Source organism: Homo sapiens, chromosome 3 (genome assembly GCF_000001405.40).
Source record: "Homo sapiens chromosome 3, GRCh38.p14 Primary Assembly".
Classification (NCBI taxonomy): Eukaryota; Metazoa; Chordata; class Mammalia; order Primates; family Hominidae; genus Homo; species Homo sapiens.
The window spans coordinates 166,834,858-166,848,292 of record NC_000003.12 but is presented as its reverse complement, the minus strand read 5'-3'; the positions used below and the strand labels follow the sequence as shown (position 1 = coordinate 166,848,292).

The 13,435-nt window shown below is 37.5% G+C and overlaps 1 long non-coding RNA gene across 1 annotated transcript; it reads left to right on the top strand.

Annotated features, from left to right (window-relative positions):
- The first annotated feature begins 711 nt into the window (after positions 1–711).
- On the top strand, positions 712–13,035 carry LOC124909498 (uncharacterized). Its single transcript, XR_007096288.1, has 2 exons — positions 712–3,414; positions 12,562–13,035. It is a non-coding gene; the product is annotated as an uncharacterized LOC124909498 (long non-coding RNA).
- The last annotated feature ends 400 nt before the right edge of the window (positions 13,036–13,435 follow it).

The window sequence follows — 13,435 nt, the reverse complement described above, 5'->3', positions numbered from 1 at the left end:
GATTAAGAACCAATATTCAACATTCTTAAAGAAAAGAATTTCCAAGCCAGAATTTCCTATTTGGTCAAACTAAGCTTTATAAGTGAAGAGAAATAAAATATTTTTCAGACAAGCAAATGCTGAGGGAATTTATCACCACCAGGCCTACCTTGCAAGAGCTCCTGAAGGAAACACCAAATATGAAAAGGAAAAACTGTTACCAGCCACTACAAAAACACACTGAAGTATACAAACCAATGACACTATGAAATACTACATTAATAAGTCTGCAAAATAACCAGTTAGCTTCATGATGACAGGATCAAATTCACACATAGCAATATTAACCTTAAATGTAAATGGGTTAAGTGCCCCCAATAAAAAGACAGCAAATAGCAAGCTGGATAAAGAGTCACGACCCATCAGTGTGCTGGATTCAATAGACCCATCTCACATGCAAAGACACACACAGGTTCAAATTAAAGGGATGGAGGAAAATTTACCAAATAAATGGAAAGCAGAAAAAAGCAGGGGTTGCAATTCTAGATTCTGACAACACAGACTTTAACCAACAAATATCAAAAAAGACAAAGAAGGGCATTACATAATGGTAAAGGGTTCAATTCAACAAGAAGAGCTAACTATCCTAAATATATATGCACCTAATGCAGAATCATTCAGATTCCTAAAACAAGTTCTTGGAGACCTACAAAGAGACTTAGACTCCCACACAGTAACAGTGGGAGACTTTAACACCTCACTGTCAATATTAGACATTGAGACCGAAAATTAACAAAGATATTCAGGACTTGAACTCAGCTCTGGATAAGGTGGACCTAATACATATCTGCAGAACTCTCCACCCCAAAACAACTGAATATACATTCTTCTCAGTGCCACATAGCACTTAATCTAAATTCGTCACATAATTGAAAGTAAAACTCTTCAGCAAATTAAAAAAAAAACTGAAATAATAAGCAGTCTCTCAGATAACATCACCATCAAATTAGGGCTCAAGACTAAGAAACTCACTCAAAACTACACAACTACATTGAAATTTAACAACTTGCTCCTGAATGACTCCCAGGTAGATATGAAGTTAGGCCAGAAATCAAGATGTTCTTTGAAACCAATGAGACAGATGATTGTATCAGAATCTCTGGGATGCAGCTAAAGCAGTGTTAAGAGGGAAATTTACAGCACTAAATGTCCTCATCAAAAAGCTAGAAAGATCTCAAATTAACATCCTAACATCACAACTAAAAGAACTCGAGAACCAAGAGCAAAGAAACAACAAAGCTAGCAGAAGACAAGAAATGAAAAAGATCAAAGTGATGCTGGCAGAATTGGCTAGCCATATGCAAAAATTGAAGTTGGACCTTTTGCTTACACCTTATATGAAAATTGACTCAAGATGAATTAAAGACTTAAATGTAAAACCCAAAACTGTGAAAAAAACCCAGAAGAAAATCTAGGCAATATCATAGTCTTGGGCAAAGATATCATGACCAAAACACCAAAAGGAATTGCAACAAAAGCAAAAATTGACAAATGGAATTAATTTAAAGTAAAGAGCTTCTGCACAGCAAAAGAAACTATCATCAGAGTGAACAGACAACCTACAGAGTGGGAGAAAATTTTAGCAATCTATCCATCTGACAAGGTTCTAATATCCAGAATCTACAAGGAACTTAAACAAATTTACAAGAAAAAAACAAACAAACAACCTTAAAAATTGGGCAAAAGACATGAGCAGACACTTCCCAAAAGAAGACATTTAAGTGGCCAAGAAACAAATGAAAAAAAAAGCTCAACATCACTGATCATTATAGAAATGCAAATGAAAACCACAATGAGGTACCATCTCATGCCAGTTAGAATGGTGATTATTAAATAGTCAAGAAACAACAAATGCTAGTGAGGCTGTGGGGAAATAGGAACATTTTTACACTATGGGTGGTAATGTAAATTAGTTTAACCATTATGGAAGACAGTGTGTTGATTCCTCAAAGACCTAGAACCAGAAATACCATTTGACCCAGCAATCCCATTACTGGGTATATACCCAAAGGAATATAAATCATTCCATTATCAAGATACATGCACTTGTATGTTCACTGCAGCACTATTCACAATAGCAAAGCCATGAAATCAACGCAAATGCCCATCAATGATATACTGGATAAGGAAAATGTGGTACATGTATGCTGTAGGATACTATGCAGCCATGAAAAGGATGAGATTGGCCGGGTGTGGTGGCTTATGCCTGTCATCCCAGCACTTTGGGAGGCTGAGGCAGGTGGATCACTTGAAGTCAGGAGTTCGAGACCAACCTGGTCAATATGGTGAATCCCTGTCTCTACTAAAAAAAATACAAAAATTGGCTGGGCATGGTGGCAGGCACTTGTAATCCCAGCTGCTCAGGAGGCTGAGTAAGGAGAATTGCTTGAACCTGGGAGGTGAAGATTGCAGTGAGCCAAGATTGCACCATTGCACTCCAGCCTGGGCAACAAAAGCTAAAACTCCATCTCAAACAAAAAAACAATGATATTATGTCCTTTGCAGGGACATGGATGGAGCTGGAAGCCATTATCCTCAGCAAACTAATAAACTAATGTAGGAACAGTAAACCAAACACCTCATGCTGTCACTCATAAGTGGGAGCTGAACAATGAGAGAACATGGACACAGAACAACACACACTGGTCTGTTAGTGGGGGTAGGAGGAGGGAGAGCATTAGGAAAAATAGCTAATGTATGCTGGGCTTAAATCCTAGGTGATGGGTTGATAGGTGCAGCAAACCACCATGGCACCTGTTTACCTGTGTAACAAACCTGCACATCCTGCACATGTATCCTGGAACTTAAAATAAAATAATATTTACTTAATGCATCATTATTCTTGACACTAACTTATTCTTTGTGCCACCTGTGAATACTGAACTCCAAATACTCTCTTAACTGTTTTTACTATACTTTATGGTAATGACAACAAAAGCAAATTTACCCAGCATATGCAATATAATGTGAAAAATAATTCATTTTCTGGTCATATTTAATTTACTATGTGGGACTTTATAGCATAAACTCTATCTTCTTTGATCTCTTGAGGTCAAAACATGCAATCCTAGAACATGACCTCTTTCCATGTTGACCATACTTCTGCCTTCCACAAAGTAATACCAGTAGGAGAATAGTAAAGTGTCCAGAAAAGGGTGTTAATAGCGGCCCCACTTGAGCAGAATGTGTCTGTCTTTCTCCCAACATGACCGTTGACAAATCCAGGAAAGCCTAATGTCACTGTGTAAGTGGAGGTAAGAGAGGACATCAAGCAAAAGGTCCTGTTTTGCTTGCAGGCTGTCTCCAAGTCTTCAGAGGAAGTATTCTGTGGCCACCCCAGAAGGACTGCCTCATCCAGTGAAGACAACAGAAATGGTAGGATAACATCTCTGAGTGCAATGGCAAGGATATACAAGGTTAAAGATGCTTGCTTGCTACTACCCCCACTCTTCTTAGGTGTTGTAGATTGGAGGTGACATCATGGATCCTACATGGATGAGCAAGAGTACATACATGGGCCCAGACACCTATCTCAAGTGCAAGTTAGGGTGGTGAGCCATTAGTAGTCCAGAGCCCTAAACTCATTTTATGAATAGTGTAAGTGAAAACCCCCTCAAATCAGATTGTCTGAATCATTCAGGTGGCTCAGTCTCACACAGTCTTGTGAAACAAAGCTGCTTGGCAAGAGTTATCTGCTTACCAAACCACCATTCTGGAACTAGGGTCAGTCCATGGGGCTCTTGTAAAACACAGTAGTCAGAATTACTGGAAATCCTTAGGGAATCTGGTCAACTTAATGTGTGGTTAAGGAGTGGCCTAAAGGAGAAAAATTGGGACAGGGCCTATGCAAATCCCAGTTCTTGTGCATAGTCACCTGTCCAGGGGTCACTGCACAGTCCTTGACAGTTAAAATGGATTTAGAATTTGTTTGTTTAAGAGACCAGCTCTTGCTCTGTTGCTCAGGCTGAGTGCAATGGTGTGATTACAGCTCACTACAGTTTGGAACTCCTAGACTCAAGTGATCATCTCACCTCAGCTTCCTGAGTAGCTGGGACTACAGGCATGCACCACTGTGCCAGGCTAATTTTAAAACATTTTTTGGTAGAGGTGGGGGTCTCACTATATTGCCCAGGCTGGTCTCAAACTCCACATCTCAAGTGATCATCCCGCTTTGTCCAGAATTGGTGGGTTCTTGGTCTTACTGACTTCAAGAATGAAGCCACGGACCCCCGCAGTGTTACAGTTCTTAAAGGCGGCGTGTCCGGAGTTTGTTCCTTCTGATGTTCAGATGTGTTCAGAGTTTCTTCCTTCTGGTGGGTTCGTGATCTTGCTGGCTCAGGAGTGAAGCTGCAGACCTTCGCGGTGAGTGTTACAGCTCTTAAGGCAGTGCGTCTGGAGTTGTTCCTTCCTCCCGGTGGGCTTGTGGTCTCGCTGGCTTCAGGAGTGAAGCTGCAGACCTTCGTGGTGAGTGTTACAGCTCATAAAGGCAGTGTGGACCCAAAGAGTGAGCAGTAGCAAGATTTATTGCAAAGAGCGAAAGAACAAAGCTCCCACAGTGTGGAAGGGGACCTGAGAGGGTTGCCACTGCTGGCTCAGCCAGCCTGCTTTTATTCTCTTATCTGGCCCCACCCACATCCTGCTGATTGGTAGAGCCCAGTGGTCTGTTTTGACAGGGCACTGATTGGTGCATTTACAATCCCTGAGCTAGACACAAAGGTTCTCCAAGTCCCCACCAGAGTAGCTAGATACAGAGTGTTGATTGGTGCATTCACAAACCCTGAGCTAGACACAGGGTGCTGATTGGTGTGTTTACAAACCCTGAGCTAGATACAGAGTGCCCATTGGTGTATTTACAATCCCTGAGCTAGACATAAAGATTCTCCAAGTCCCCACCAGAGTAGCTAGATACAGAGTGCCGATTGGTGTATTCACAATCCCCCAGCTAGACATAAAGGTTCTCCACGTCCCCACCAGACTCAGGAGCCCAGCTGGCTTCACCCAGTGGATCCCACACCAGGGCTGCAGGTGGAGCTGCCTGCCAGTCCCGCGCTGTGCGCCCGCACTCCTCAGCCCTTGGGTGGTTATGGGACTGGGCGCCCTGGAGCAGGGGGCGGCGCTCATCTGGGAGGCTCAGGCTGCACAGGAGCCCACGGAGAGGGTGGGCAGCTCAGGCATGGCGGGCTGCAGGTCCCCAGCCCTGCCCCACGGGAAGGCAGTTAAGGCCCAGCGAGAAATCAAGGGCAGCGCCGGTGGGCGGGCACTGCTGGGGGACCCAGTACACCCTCCGCAGCTGCTGGCCTGGGTGCTAAGCCCCTCATTGCCTGGGGCCGGCAGGGCTAGCCGGCTGCCCCGAGTGCGGGGCCCGCCAAGCCCACGCCCACCGGGAACTCCAACTGGCCCGCAAGCTCGGCGCACAGCCCCGGTTCCCGCTCGCGCCTCTCCCTCCACACCTCCCTGCAAGCTGAGGGAGCGGGCTCCGGCCTTGGCCAGCCCAGAAAGGGGCTCCCACAGTGCAGCGGTGGGCTGAAGGGCTCCTCAAGTGCCGCCAAAGTGGGAGCCCAGGCAGAGGAGGCACCCAGAGCAAGCGAGGGCTGTGAGGACTGCCAGCACGCTGTCACCTCTCATGGCCTTAGTTCCCCAAAGTGCTGGGATTACATGCATGACCACTGTGTACAGCCAGAAAGTTTTGATTGGCAAATCTTGGCAACCAGGATTTATGTGGGACCAAGTCTGGCCTTGCAATGTCCTGTGTGGGTGCCTTTGCTGGAATTGTTCAGTCCCGGGCACTGCACGTAGACTGGAAAAATTTGGAAAAGCCACTGCAAACCATGATACCCATGGAGATGCAGACTTTGGGGAAGCACCTCAAATGCATATGTGGAAAGGCCGAATTCCAGAAAATATTCAATATTGAAAAATATTTGACCAAATATAGCAAATCAGTAAAACAGATACCTTTTGCAATTAAAAGTCTAAAACATCAATTGATATTAATATGCAATATTAATTAGCATGTGTCTGTGGAAAACCATTTAGATAATATTCACCATTTAATAAATTAATTGTATATTCACTATGTGTTTATCACATTAGGAATGCAATAGAGATGCTTGCTGCATTAAGGATGTACTACATTAGAGATGCAATAATCACTAATATATTTTCTACACCTTCTGTGATAGATATTAAGAGCCATAAAAGTGTTTACAATCTTTAGCTGATTTATGCAATTTTATAATTCAATACTAGGAAATAAGACAGGTGATAAGTCAATGAAAGAATGTATATAATAAGTATCATACATTGTATTGTATATTATTGATAACCAAAATATGTATAAATAGTAGCAAACTTCTAGTTCAACTAATTAATAGAATATTGTACATCAGTTTAAATTAGAATTATGAAGCTATCGGCAAAACTGATTCATGACTACAATTTTATAAATTCATATTTGCATGAAAATAAGGACCAACAAGGAACATGGATATATGAACAACTGATATTTCCAGTGACTCTCATTATTATTTTAATATGTTTGTAGGATGTTAACGTTAAGAGAAATTAAATAAAATTAATGATTGCCCTTAGTCACATATGATTCTTTAACAAAGTGCAATCACCTGTACAATGGTGAAACCTATATCCTGAGGGTTGTTGTTCATTCATTAATTTAATTAATTTTTTTTAGTGGCACATTTTCTCTATGCCAGATACCTTTTTTTAATAAGCACTAATAATTGGTGAAGAATGAAGTCAGGGGAGTGGATCAGGGGTTCTGTTTGGGGCATAAGATGGAGAAACCTACTTTTCTAACCTAGTGGATTTAAATTCATGACACCAAGTAAAGAGTTAATAGTAGATAGCTAACTCTTGAGCTAAAATAATATGTTCATTAATTTCCTAAGTATATGCATAATAGATTAGATAAAAATCAATTATGCAATACTCTAAGGTAATTTCATTTTCTGAAAAGTGTTATGAAAAAACTAAAATTGGCTGGGCGTGGTGGATCATGCCTGTAATCCCAGCACTTTGGAAGGACGAGGTGGGCAGATCACAAGGTCAGCAGATCGAGACCATCCTGACTAACGCGTTGAAACCCCATCTTTACTAAAATACAATTAGCCAGGCATGGTGGCATGTGCCTGTAATCCCAGCTACTTGGGAGGCTGAGGCAGGAGAATCACTTGAACCCGGGAGGCGGAGGTTGCAGTGAGCTGAGATCACACAACTGCACTCCAGCCTGGGCAACAGAGCGAGACTCTGTCTCAAAAAAATAAAATTAAAAATTAAAACATAAAAATAAAAAACTAAAATTAGATAATGGAGTAGAAAGTCATAGAGTTTTAGATGGAAGTGAGGAGAAAGAAAATTTTATTTGAGAATGTAATAGGACTGATACCTAAACAATGAGGAAGAAACAAGCATGAGGAGAGTTCAGGGAAGAAAATTTCATGTAGAAGAAACATCCATGACAAATCTCCTGAGGGAGATTCAGCCAGATAATACTATTGTAGGCCATGATAAGAACCGTGGTGTTTCCTGAGTATGATGAGTAGCCATTAAATATTTTAGGCAAAAAAGTGTTTTAAACAGACCACTCAGGCTGCACTGAGTTTGTGGCATGGCTGGAGATTAAAAGTGGGAACAAGGAGATACGATTGCTGGCTATTGGAGAGATGAGGTTGTACTTTGTGGTAGCTTGGTCTATGTGGTAGTTAAAGAGGATAAAAAGATACTGGAGCAGATATATTTTAGTGATATAACCAATATACCATGAAATGGAGTAAATTGAGAGAAGAGGAGATCAGGTCTTCTGACGATTCCAAGTTAATTTCAAGGGACACATTAAACATACAATAGAAGATTAAATGCTTATTGTGAAATAACTATGCAAAAGTAGTTGGTGGTTGCTAACCTAAAATAACTAAACTCATTGTGCACCAGGTATTGTAAAGTATAGAGATGATGTATTTAAAATCGCCTATGTACTTTCATAGCACTATATTCGTATCTCCTACATATCACTTATTCAACTTTGTTTAGTTGAATAATTCTACTATTAAACTGTGTTACTTTGGTGCTCACTAATCTTTGTGCCAATAGTAATTAGATCAAAGCCTGACCCAGAGCAGAAGCTTAGTAAATATTCATGAATGAATGAATCTAATTTGAGGTGGAAAATTGAAAAGAAAATAATTCCATATATAAGATAATAGCAACGTACTTTTTTTGTTTTGTGATTCAGATCCTAAATTATATAGAATAAGCTTTGTGTTCAGAGACTGGTAAGGCATAGAAGTTGATTGCTGAGACATAGAAGCAAGCATTAGAGTTTATGTGAATGGAATTCCAATCCACCATAATGTATAACCAGTCACGGAAGACAAATATACTTAACAGTTGAAATAAGCATTGTAGAATTTTTTTCATTGTGAGGGTCAAGTGAAGACCCATTTGCTCTACTCTTTAATCCTTTTTATTGCTCTATGTATATTGCACAGATATGTGTAAAGTGTAGCATAATACACATTTTGTCAACAGAATACAAAAGTGATTTAAGTGAGAAAGAGAAGAAGATACTGATATCTAATTCACAGGTCAAGTTTTTAATGCTACATATTGGATAGAATGTTCTTTAATAAACCTCTAGCGAAGCCAGAAATTAGGATCCTTTAATAGAACTGTCTAGGGTCTCCCTGTTAAAATTGATGTATAATGTTAGTTTTTAATAGATGCTTTTTATCAAATTAAGAAAGTGCCATTCTATTTTTAGGTTACTGAAACTTTTATTAAACTGGAAATTGGTGGTGAATTGCACCTTATCTTTTACATAATCTGTGAAGCTGTTTTTTGTCTTTTAGTCTTTTAAGATAATACATCATAGTATTATTAGTTATTCAAATGTTGACTTCGTTTTCATTGCTGAGTTAAATTCTATTTACTCAAGGTATATCAATGTTTTGATATATTGTTGTATTTGATAAGCTAATATTTTATTTGGAGTCTTTGCCTGTGCATTCATAAATAACATTCAACCATAGATAAGGTTTTTATTTGTACTTTTCTGTACAATCTTGGTAGTATAATTATGCTAGCTTCCTATAATTTATTTGTAAGTATTTAATTTTTAAAAATATAATGAAGCAATTTAAATAATATCGATGCTATTTAAAATTTTCATAACATTTTCTGTAAAATTATCCATGTTTATTTTGTGAGAGATAATTTGTTCAATTTGTTCTGTGCTTCTTAGCCTGATTAGCATTTTAATTATTGAATCAATTTGTTAAAACTTTTACAATTTAGTGTAATAAAGTACATATAGAAATATCCTATAACATTTTAATGTCCTCTTATTCACTTGTAGTTTTTTTGTATTTAATATTATTTTTGTGTTTTTTCTCTTAACATTTTAGCATATTTGTCATTAAAAATTCTTTTCATAGATTTCGCTCTTGACTTATGTTGGTTTATTATTCAATTAATTCTCAAATTTACTTACTTATTGCTCCCTTTCCATACTTTATTTTTTTAGCTTCCTTACTTGTATCCGTGATTTACTTATTTTCAGTCAATGTTTCATGATAACATAATTTAAAGCTATGTATTCTTTTCCTTTTAATAGCAATTGGTCCCCTCCTGTTATTTGGGTATTTAAAAAATTTGTAACTGAAACATATTCTAGCAACAAGTAATGTTATACCATTTATTCAAGCAGAAAATTACAGAATGGTTTATAACAGGTGTGTCTAATCTTTTGGCTCCTACATTGGAAGAAAAAGAATTATCTCAGACCACAAATAAAATACACTAACACTAACGATAGCTGGATGAGCAAAAAAAATCCTAATGTTTTATGAAAATTTATCAATTTGTGTTGGGCCTCATTCAAAGCTGTCTTGGGCTGCATGCAGCCCATGGACTGTGGGCTGAACAAGCTTACCTTAAAATATATGACAGCAAAATATCTTTTGTAAATAATGTTCAAAAAGCAATGTTAAAATAAAAACATATCTTTGCATTTTGAATACTGATTGTCAAATAAAGGAAAACTCTAGTGTCTTAATAATAATAACGGATTTTCTACAGGTGTACTTTTTATCATCGAAATATAATTTACATGTAGGCCACATACAAATTTTAAACTTACAGCCCGATCAATTTTTACATATTTATGCACCCATGCACCTATCACCCAGGTTAAGATATAGAATATTCCCATTATACTAGGAAGCTCCCTTTGTCCTTTTTAAATCAACACATCTCTGCCATTATTTTGATTTCTATCACTACAAAGAGAAAATACAGTCCTCTCTATACTCACTCAATACCTCATTTCTGACACCAAATGTATGAATTTTTTTTCGCCACGCCAACCGACTCTCCAACTCTCTGGACACTCCCTGGGTGCCCTACAACATAACTCAATTCTGATACTACCTATTTAAAGTTAGTCCAGATGCCACAGATTAAGAGCTCAGTTCCGTAAGATTGCCCCCTACTGGACATCAGTCACAAGTAGTAGGTTCCCAGGTTACTCTCACTTCTGTCTGACTTGGCTATAATTCATGGATTCCCATTATACTCTCCTCATGTTTGAGAATTTATTGTAATGGCACAAAGAACTCAGGGAAACACTTACTGAAGTTTATCTCTTTATTATAAGGCAATGATAAAGGATACAGATAAGAAGCCAGATTGAGAGGTACATAGAGCAAGCTCTGGAAGGGTCTCAAGCATCTCCATGGAGCTGGGATATACCACTCTCCTGGCATATGGATGTGTTCATCAGCCCAGAAGCTCTCCAAACTTTAGGGATTTTTATAAAAGCTTCTAATGTATGCTTGATAATTGTTAACTCAATCTCTAGTTCCTCTCCTCTCCTTGGAGGATGAGGAGTAGGGCTACAAGCTCCAAGCTTCTAATCATGACTTGGTTTTTTTTAGTGACCAGCCCCCATCCAAGAGCTATACAAAAGGCCACCAAGAGATACCTCATTAGAAAAAAAAAAAAATTCTATCCTCCAGTAAATCCCAAGGGATTTAGAAACCCTATGTCAGAAACTAAGATCAAAGACCAAACACTAGAAACAAAGATTCTCCTAGCACCTCTATTGCTTTGGAAATTACAAGGGTTTTAGGAACTCTGTGCCAAAAACTGGGGGCAGAGACCAAATATACATTTCCTATTATGTCACCATCACTATAGATTGGTTTGGCTTGTTTTGAAAATTCATAAGATGTAATGACATAAAATATGCTTGTTTATGTCTGGCTTCTTTTACGCAACATAGTGATTTTGAAAATCACTTATGTTGTTGCAAATAAAATTTTTTATTTATGTGCCAAATTTCCATGTGTGATTAATAACACAGTCCTTTTATTCATTTTTTCTCTTAATGTACATTTGGAATGCATCCAGTTACTGTCTTTTATAAATAAAGCTGCCATGAATATTCTTATAGAATCTTCTTGTGAACATACATTTTTATTTATTTTGTAAATACTAGAATTAAAATTTTTGGCTTGTGGAAAAGATGTAAGATTAATTTTAATAGAAACTTTCAGTTTCTCAAAGTGGTTGTACTATTTCACATTCCCAAAGGAACAAAGTTTAACTTGCATTTCTCCATTAACTAATATTGCTTAGCACCTTAATACACACATATACACATATAATTTGATTAAATCACTCTTACGTGAGTGTTTGTTCAAGTCATAGGACCAGTTTATAAATTGTGCTTTTTGGTCTTCTTATTACTGATATGTAGATGTGCTTTATATATTATCAAAATAAAATTTGTCATGTAATTATATTGCAAATCTTTTCTCTCATTGTGATTTAATTTTGATTGTTATTTTGATGAGCAGATGTTTTTAATTATTTAGAAATATATGTATTTTAAATGCATATGTCTTACACGTTTTCTATGAAATTTATTACTAGCTTTTAAAAAATAATTGATAACATCCTAAATGATATTTTAAAATAATTACCAATATTTCCCACTTTTGGCTACAATATACATTCAATTTTTCTGATACCTGTATTTACCTTATGTCTTGTGAGAATTCTGGAAAAATTTCCAGAAGTTAAAATCTTCAGTGAATAAAAATAAGTAACAATAAATTTGGTAGAAGGTAAGAAGTTCTATATTTACAGGGATTATTTAGTCAAGTGTTTAATTACATCATATGGCATTCACTATACTGTTGTCAGCACTTTCTTAATGGTAGTAAAATTCCTGTGCTTTCATTTTTTTTTTTGACGGGGTGGGGGGTTCTAGTTTAAATTCAACTCCATTGCAAAACACTTCCAGTTCCTAGTACTATCTCTCAATCTATCTTCTGATAAGAATCTAACTGAGTAAACAACCCTCTGCTACTTTTAAATTGTTCCTTAAGCAAGTAATCTTTGCTAATGTAAATTGCACCATTTGGGGAAAATGTTTTTATTTAATTTATAAGACTGGGTAAAAATTATTATCACACAAATACTTTTGCATTTTCTTTTCAGCCTCCCTGAGAGCTCTGCTTGGTCTGTGTACTGCTCAATTTCCCCACCCAACCTGGAGTGGGACTACATCAAACTTAAAAGCTTCTGCACAGCAAATAAGACAATCAACAGAGTGAAAAGACAACCTATACAATGGGAAAAGATATTTTGCCAACTATGTATCTGACAAGAAGATAATTTCCAAAATATATAAGAAACTCTTACAACTTAACAGCAAAAGAAAGAAAGAAAGAAAAGAAAGAAGGAAAGAGAAAATGAAGAAAGAAGAAAAGAAAGAGAGAAAGAAATTTAAAAATGAATGAGCCAAGGGCTTGAACAGGCATTTCTTCAAAGGACACATACAAATAACCAATAAGTGCATGAAGAGGTGTTTCACACTACTAATCATTAGGGAAACACAAACCAAAACCACAATGAGGTATCATCTTATACTTGTTTTAAGATGGCTATTAATAAAAACATGCGAAATAAGTATCGGTGAGGATGTGGAGAAATTGGAACTCTTGTACATTATGGGAACATAAAATGGTGCGATAGCTACGGAACACAGAAAAAAAGGTTCCTCAAAAGATTAACTGCTATATGATCTAGCAATTCCACTTCTGGTCATATATCCAAAAGAATTGAATTCAGAATTTCAAAGAGAGCTCCATACACATTGCATTATTATTTACAATAGCTAAGATATAGAAAAAATTTAAGTGTCCATTGCACTTGATTTGATGAAGAAAATGTGCTATATGCATGCAATGGAATATTATTCACCCTTAAAAAATTAAGTCCTACCATTTGTGACAACATGGATTTACCCAGAGGATATTATGCTAAATAAAATAAACTAGTCAAAGAAGGATAAACATGGCATGATTCCACT